General features: G+C 42.5%; 1 protein-coding gene across 1 annotated transcript; it reads right to left on the reverse strand.

The window, feature by feature from the left end:
- Positions 1-8,735: 8,735 nt before the first annotated feature.
- Positions 8,736-9,005, reverse strand: LCE3A (late cornified envelope 3A). Its single transcript, NM_178431.1, has one exon. It carries the CDS (start codon positions 9,003-9,005, stop codon positions 8,736-8,738), a length of 270 nt encoding a protein of 89 aa, NP_848518.1.
- Positions 9,006-9,221: the final 216 nt, after the last annotated feature.

The following is a 9,221-nucleotide window of genomic DNA, read 5'->3' on the forward strand; positions in this document are numbered from 1 at the left end:
CCTAATTCCTGATGCTGAGACAAGCGACTTTAGAGGAAACAAGTATCTCAAGGAAAAAGGAAAAGCCCCAACTTGTTAGATCCTTTCTTAGACATGCTAATTAACCATTCATTCATGGGGAAGAATTGTGCTTTTTCCAAAAGGCTCCACCCATGTGTTTTCCAAGATCGTGGAAGCCTCCTTTCCTCCTGACAATGTTATCACTTGTGTCTGATTATACAGAGAAATAAAGCTTCTGAACAGCACCTGCATCTAACTTGTCTTTCACTCTGCTCCACAGAAGGCTGCTCAGTGGGTCTCCCCTCCCTCAGCTCCTGAAGGTCTAGCACACCCTGCATAGAGAATAATACTGGCTTGTGGCTGGAAAATTAAACGTTCATATTTTTCTTCATGCAGGGAGTCCCTGTGGGAGATTTGAGTATAGAAGTGTAGGAGAAAGGGGAGGTGTTGAGAGAGGTTGGTGAAAATCTCTTAAAAAAGGCCTAAGATCAGAGCAGAACTGAAGGAAATAGAGACACAAAAAACCCTTCAAAAAATCAATGAATCCAGGAGCTGGTTTTTAGAAAAGATCAACAAAATTGGTAGACCGCTAGCAAGACTAATAAAGAAGAAAAGAGAGAAGAATCAAATAGACACAATAAAAAATGATAAAGGGGATATCACCACAGATCCCACAGAAATACAAACTACCATCAGAGAATACTATAAACACCTCTACACAAATAAACTAGAAAATCTAGAAGAAATGGATGAATTTCTGGACACATACACCCTCCCAAGACTAAACCAGGAAGAAGTTGAATCTCTGAATAGACCAATAACAGACTCTAAAATTGAGGCAATAATTAATAGCTTACCAACCCAAAAAAGTCCAGGACCAGAAGGATTCACAGCCAAATTCTACCAGAGGTACAAGGAGGAGCTGGTACCATTCCTTCTGAAACTATTCCAATCAATAGAAAAAGAGGGAATCCTCCCTAACTCATTTTATGAGGCCAGCATCATCCTGATACCAAAGTCTGGCAGAGACACAACAACAACAACAAAAAAGAGAATTTTAGACCAATATCCCTGATGAACATCGATGCAAAAATCCTCAATAAAATACTGGCAAACCAAACCCAGCAGCACATCAAAAAGCTTATCCACCATGATCAAGTGGGCTTCATCCCTGGGATGCAAGGCTGGTTCAACACACACAAATCAACAAACATAATCCAGCATATAAACAGAACCAATGACAAAAACCATATGATTATCTCAATAGATGCAGAAAAGGCCTTTGACAAAATTCAACAATACTTCATGCTAAAAACTCTCAATAAATTAGGTATCGATGGGACGTATCTCAAAATAATCTAAGAGCTATCTATGACAAACCCACAGCCAATATCATACCGAATGGGCAAAAACTGGAAGCATTCCCTTTGAAAACTGGCACAAGACAGAGATGCCCTCTCTCACCACTCCTATTCAACATAGTGTTGGAAGTTCTGGCCAGGGTAATCAGGCAGGAGAAGGAAATAAAGTGTATTCAATTAGCAAAAGAGGGAGTCAAATTGTCCCTGTTTGCAGATGACATGATTGTATATCTAGAAAACCCCATTGTCTCAGCCCAAAATCTCCTTAAGCTGATAGGCAACTTCAGCAAAGTCTCAGGATACAAAATCAATGTGCAAAAATCACAAGCATTCTTATACACCAATAACAGACAAACACAGAGCCAAATCATGAGTGAACTCTCATTCACAATTGCTTCGAAGAGAATAAAATACCTAGGAATCCAACTTACAAGGGATGTGAAGGACCTCTTCAAGGAGAACTACAAACCACTGCTCAATGAAATAAAAGAGGATACAAACAAATGGAAGAACATTCCATGCTCATGGGTAGGAAGAATCAATATCGTGAAAATGGCCATACTGCCCAAGGTAATTTATAGATTCAATGTCATACCCATCAAGCTACCAATGCCTTTCTTCACAGAATTGGAAAAAACTACTTTAAAATTCATATGGAACCAAAAAAGAGCCCTCATTGCCAAGTCAATCCTAAGCCAAAAGAACAAAGCTGGAGGCATCACGCTACCTGACTTCAAACTCTACTATAAGGCTACAGTAACCAAAACAGCATGGTACTGGTACCAAAACAGAAATATAGACCAATGGAACAGAACAGAGCCCTCAGAAATAATGCTGCATATCTACAGCTGTCAGATCTTTGACAAACCTGACAAAAACAAGAAATGGGGAAAGGATTCCCAAAACTGCTAGCCATATGTAGAAAGCTGAAACTGGATACCTTCCTTATACCTTATACAAAAATTAATTCAAGATGGATTAAAGACTTAAATCTTAAACCTAAAACTATAAAAACCCTAGAAGAAAACCTAGGCAATACCATTCAGGACATAGGCATGGGCAAGGACTTCATGTCTAAAACACCAAAAGCAATGGCAACAAAAGCCAAAATTGACAAATGGAATCTAATTAAACTAAAGTGCTTCTGCACAGCAAAAGAAACTACCATCAGAGTGAACAGGCAACCTATAGACTGGTAGAAAATTTTTGCAATCTACTCATCTGACAAAGGGCTAATATCCAGAATCTACAATGAACTCAAACAAATTTACAAGAAAAAAGCAAACAACCCCATCAAAAAGTGGGCGAAGGATATGAACAGACACTTCTCAAAAGAAGACATTTATGCAGCCAAAAGACACATGAAAAAATGCTCAACATCACTGGCCATCAGAGAAATGTAAATCAAAACCACAATGAGATACCATCTCACACCAGTTAGAATGGCAATCATTAAAAAGTCAGGAAACAACAGGTGCTGGAGAGGATGTGGAGAAATGGGAACACTTTTACAATGTTGGTGGGACTGTACCATTGTGGAAGTCAGTGTGGCGATTCCTCAGGAATCTAGAACTAGAAATACCATTTGACCCAGCCATCCCATTACTGGGTATATACCCAAAGGATTATAAATCATGCTGCTATAAAGACACATGCACACGTATGTTTATTGTGGCACTATTCACAATAGCAAAGACTTGGAACCAACCCAAATGTCCAACAATGATAGACTGGATTAAGAAAATGTGGCACATATACACCATGGAATACTATGCAGCCATAAAAAATGATGAGTTCATGTCCTCTGTAGGGACATGGATGAAGCTGGAAACCATCATTCTCAGCAAACTATCGCAAGGACAAAAAACCAAACACTGCATGTTCTCACTCATAGGTGCGAATTGAACAATGAGGACACATGGACACAGGAAGGGGAACATCACACACCAGGGCCTGTTGTGGGGTGGGGGTAGGGGGGAGGGATAGCATTACGAGATATACCTAATGTTAAATGACGAGTTAATGGGTGCACACCAACATGGCACATGTATACATATGTAACAAACCTGCATGTTGTGCACATGTACCCTAAAACTTAAAGTATAATTAAAAAAAATAAAGGCCTGACTTTTCTTGGATGATACCGTGGGAGGAGTGATTTGACCCTGTAGCCCACAGTTTCCATTGACGGTGATGTAGAGAATCAGAAAATCGACAAGAATGAGACCAAAGTGGATGGAGCATGTGGAGGCAGAAAGAAAGGTCTGAAGGATGAAGATCAAGTCAAGCTGCACATAATGGACCTTAGGGAGGGAGGTTAGCTGAAGTCAGTGGATTCTGAAGCAATTGGAATTGAAGTTTTCTCTGACGGGAATGCTAATGAGAGGCTCTGTGCTCTGAGAAAACAGAAAAAAGCGGACATGATGAATGCTTCTGGGGGTACAGATTACATATCTGTAAATTTCTTTTAAGATATTTGAGATAGAATTGAACTCATTATTATTTTCTGTCGTGTGTTACTTTTTGAACTCAACAATAATGAGACACAGCCATATTCTAGTTACCACTGGACTCTAACTGGGCAGCTCCTGCCCCAACATTGGAATATGGCAGTGTTTTATCTCTACTCCAAACCAAAGTGATTGATGTGAATCATCAGTGCTGCTTCATTTTGATAGCTGGATTTTGGAAATAATGTTGCAAAACTGGGGACTGTTCAACCCAAGCTATGATGGTTCTTGAGATAACTTCAGAAAGATGAAAACAAATCATATAGCTGTGGCTACAGTCAAAGCAGAAACTTTTGAGAGAAATTAGAGGTTGAGCTTGGACATTTTAGACAGAGAATAAGACCTATATGATACTTTGGGAATTCAACTGATTATAATACTTTTTTTAATTTCATTTTTAAAAAGTGGCAAACTGGAAAAATCAGTTTTGCTCCAATATATGTGGACACATTATTTCTTAAGAAACTGGAATGAAAAGTGTCAAAAGGAACCATAACTGAAAGTTGAAGTCAAATCTGCTCTGCTAGTCAAATCACTTAACTGGCTGAGAAGGGTTCTCTGAGAAAGTGAACAGAGATTTGAAGCTTACAATTGAGTAGACTTGAATCAATGTAATAGGCTTCTTGCTCTGGTACACTTAAGACATGCTTGGGAAGTACTTTTTAAAAGTCAGAATTAAAACACATAATGGAGAAAAAAGGAAAAGGATGGGCAAGCTCCTTATGGGAACACCTGAGTCCCACATTCAGCTAAGTTGTACATGCAAAGCCACAAGCATTGATGAAGCTAGTTGGCCTAAAATTCACAGGAATTGTGTGCATTTCAGGGTGCATAGAGACTGAGATTGCACAAACATTTGATGAGTGTTGGGGTGATCAGACCCAACACCAGGCTGGGGGGGGGCTACGAAGTCCGGTGGAGTCAAAGGAATGAGAAAAGACCAGTTAAGAAATAAAGTGGGACCAGGGGGCCAATGCTAGTATGGAGACTGCAAAGGCCCCGAGCTCTGGGAGCCCATGCTATTTATTTGTGATCAAAGAAACAGGTGGTGAGGATGTGGGGGTTGAAAGGAAGCAATGTATTAAGTGAATGAGCTACAGCTGTGATGGTTTAGCATTTTCTTTGAAACATATGGCTACTTGCAATAATGGGAATGCTAGAAGCGAGGAGCCAGCAAGTCTAGACACATTCCAGAGGCCACAAGGGGGTTTTAGATCCTGGAACCCAGACATGTTCCAAGCCCTGACTCAGCTTGTCTCCCAACACTCAGCTTTTCTCCCAACAATGAGTGTATCTCCCATGCCAGGTGCCACTCTAGGCATTGTAGATACAATGGGAACAGATGAAGTTTCTTTTTACTTGGAGCAGACATCGACTGGGCATGTTGCAGGCTGACATTTTCCTTGCTCTGCATTCAGTTGGATTATCATACCCTGTGTGTCATGAGTGTCAGTGTAGGTGAGATAAACCTTGGAAAAACATTAAGGCATGAAAGTGGTGAATTTTGGGGGGACTAAGAAAGCTATCTAGTGGCTATTGGCACCTCAGCAGAGCCAACAACTTTAGAAGGAAGAACATAAGTTGCTGATGGCAGAAAATCAGTGGGTGTCCTATTGTTACATAACAAATCACCCCAAAACTTAGTGATGTGAAACAATACACTAAGTGATTGGAATGACAGCCATCTTGGTTTTCTCACAATTTTATGGGTCACAAATTCAGAAAGGACTCAGCAGGGCAATTCTCATTTCATGCATTTGTCGTCAGATGTTGATTGGAGCTGTGGTCATCTGAAGGCTGACTGGGCTGGACATCCAAGAAGTCTCACTCAGATGGTTGGCTGTTGATGCTGGATGCCAGCTGAGCCCTCTTCTGGGGTTGTCACCTGGAGGACCTACATCTGGCCTCTCTTGCATGATGGTCTTAGAATAGCGAGACTTTTTACATGGTAACTGGCTTCCCCAGAGACAGCCTCCTAAGAGGACCAGGTGGAATCTGCATGACCTTTTGTGACCCAGCCTTTGAAGTCACATAGCATATTTCAACCATATTCATTTGGTTAAAGGAGTTACAAGCCCGCTTAGATTCAAGGTAAGTGGACATAGGCCTAACTTCTCAATGAGAGGAATGTCAAAAAAAATTTGAACCATGCTTTAAAATCATCACAAATAGGTATCAGCCAAATCCTCACCCTCTTGTCAGTTCACTCTACATGTTGCTGAAGCCCTAGTATAAATTAATGTTCCCACAGTGTTTTGAAAAGACTCAGATTTTGGTCATGCTTGTAACATATTCAAGCTTTGAAGAGGGTGGCCACTCCTATAACCTTTATGGAACTAGAATGTTCAGAACTATTGCTGCAATAATGATGTCTTACCAAAATATATCAAAGTTATTTACATATGCCAGATAATTATCTAATTCCTGGCCAACATGGTGAAACCCCATCTCTACTAAAAATACAAAAATTAACCAGGCGTGGTGGCTCGTGGTAGTTTCAGCTACTCAGGAGGCTGAGGCAGGAGAATCACTTGAACCTGGGAGGTTGCAGTGAGCAGATATCATGCCACTGCACTCCAGCCCTGGAGACAGAGTGAGACTCCACCTAAAAAAAATTAAATGCAATGGGAAAATAGTATACATCTGTCATTTATATTCAGCAGAAACACTGGTGAAATAAACTTAATTACCACTATTGTCCATCACTTTATTTTTTCTCCCATCAATTATCATTCAATCCCTCCTTTTTCCTAAAGCGTTCTGGCCAATGTGATATGAGCATCCCTGTGTCTGAACCATTCCTATCTCTTGGATCAATAGTGCAGTCAAGTAAATGCTGAAGCAATGTCTGTCATGTCACAGATCTAGACTGCTAGATTTGCAAGTCTGTCATGTCACAGATCTAGACTGCTAATTGGTGGCTCAGCTTTTAATTCCAGCATTTCTGGTTCATTTTGCCTTTATTTTTTAGCTTTGTTTTCCCCTAGACTCTTCAAGGTTTCTCCTGGTATTTAAAAGAGGGGAGGCAATGGGAATGTCCGACTCCAGTGCCCATGTTCTTGGCCTGCACACTATTCTGCCTCCCATTATCTTAGCTTGCTTCCCTTTCAGATCCAACTTCTCTCAAAGGGCAGCTTCATTTCCTCCCTCTGCCAGGAAACCTTCTGCCCAGGGACTCCTGGCTCTTGGGTCCCATTAGTTCCTCTTAGTCACTTTAGCTAGGCCATCACAGGACCATCAAAGGTCATTTTGCAGGCCAGAAACCTCACCCAACACCCACAAATGATACTAGTGACAATGTCTGGACACTTCACTCTTGTCAGGGAAACAGGGGGTTACCATCCAAAGGATAAGTCCCATGGACTTCCCACACACTTATGTAACAGTCCATATCATTCCAGCTCATAAGTGGATTGCTGACTTGTCAGTCGGCATCTCAAGGATGGGAATCATATTTCACACATTTCTGAGTCCTTTGTGTCAACATATATCTGAACTGTGTCCTCAATTCCTGTTGTTTGAATGAATTAATTAATGAATAAAATAGTATAGACAATTAGTTTTCAACAGTCTTGATAATCAAGGCCAGATATTTGGGTGTTACAGGGACTTCCTGGTTCCCTTCTATCAGAAAACATCTGGGCATCTACTGAATAATTATTGAATTTCCTACTGAGGGGCTAGAGTTTGAAGAGCTGTTACTTGGAGTAGAGTCCATCACTATCATCACTCTCCATGTCCCATCTCCTTTTTTTCTGATTCTAAATCAAAGTAGGAGGAGAAAATACCTTGATCAGCAAACATTCTGAGCCAATTCATCCCTGCCCAAGGCCCTGTTTCCCTGCTGCCCTTAGGTTAGCAAAAACGTGAGCTTAGGGTCATAGGGTCAGGGTCTGAGAAAGACGGTGAGGGACAAGGGGAGACAGATAGGTAGATAGAGATAGATAGATAGATAGATAGATAGATAGATAGATAGATAGATAGATAGATAGAAAACAATGATTTACTTTTTCATTTCTTCCAGGGATCACTGAGCTGAGATGTCCTGAAAGGAAAAACTAACAGCACTGTCAGCCCCCTCCCAAGTGCCTAACCCTCAAGTATCCTTTTGGTTGTTTGCTGCCAGTCTATTTCTGTTGTGGTTCCAGCTCTGCAGGAAGCTGCTACCGGAGTCACCATGGGCCCACAGATCCCACTGACATGCCCAACAGAGCATTCTGGAGGCTCCAGTTGCTGCCACAGCTCTGGGGGCTGCTGTGGTCCTGGGTCATGAAGACTACAGAGTATCAGAGTTGGAGGAACCAGAGGACCAAGGACCTGCTCCCATCTGGAGCTTCTCTTCTTCTCTGCCATCTAGGGCTGAGCTACCAAAGTGTTTTCGGAAGGATCTGAACGGGCCCAGTAAGCTCATTCCCTTTGTTTTCCAGAGCTCTGTGTTTATTTCCAACTCATGCTTCTGTCCTTGACCTTGTGAAAGACTGCTCACCTCATTCCCACACTAATATACAACCCCCCTAAAAGGGTTTTGTGAGTTGAGGGGTGTATGACCCACTTGTGTCTGTTCCTAAGATAGGCCTATGTACCCAATGTGGGGCAGCCCCTGTAAGGCAAAGACGGGAACGCACTGGACAGAGCTTGCAACGAGAAAGCACAGCTTTATTCTTCACAGCACAGGGATATTAAAGAAGGAGGGAAAACACTAAGACCAGCAGGATAAATCCCCTGGGGGAGTACTTGAAACTCATCAAGGAACATCTCAGTAGGAAAGAGGAGACAGGAGCAAAGAAGCACCAGGCTAGGGCTGGTTCCAGTCATTTTGGCACTTTCTTTTCTCAAATATTTTTACTTAATCTCGTGGCTCAGGTCAGCAGCAGCCCGCAGAACTGTGGCCACAGCTGGAGCTCCCGCCTTGCTGACCACTTCCCCTGTCACAGGAGTTGGAGCTCTGGCAACGGCAACGGTGAGACCTGCGGCATCTGTGGTGACTCAGGCAGCAGCTGCGCTCGGAGCTGGGCCCACAGCCCCCAGAGCTTGGGGCACAGCTGGAGGAAGCTGGAGGCAGACACTGTGCTGGGCTCTTTGCAGGGCACTTGGGCGGAGGCTGGCACTGCTGCTGGTTCTGCTGGCAGGACATCTAGGCAGGAGGTCAGGGAGCCTGGGCAAAATAAAAGCAAAGCAAAATACGTGTCAATGCAGGTTTCAGGCCAGGGCCTCCTCATGCTTTGGTTTAATTGTGGATCCCTTCCCCTAAACTCAGTCTGCCCTCCAGCTAAGACCTGGGGAAGGGGAATGCAAACGGATCTGAAGTTAAACCGGCCTGATACTGCCCCTTCCTCCGGCCCTCTCCCCT

Source organism: Homo sapiens, chromosome 1, assembly GCF_000001405.40.
Source record: "Homo sapiens chromosome 1, GRCh38.p14 Primary Assembly".
NCBI classification, from domain to species: Eukaryota; Metazoa; Chordata; class Mammalia; order Primates; family Hominidae; genus Homo; species Homo sapiens.

Bases quoted from the DNA above. Each gene is read 5' to 3' on its own strand.
- LCE3A (NM_178431.1), bottom strand. From the start codon at position 9,005: ATGTCCTGCCAGCAGAACCAGCAGCAGTGCCAGCCTCCGCCCAAGTGC.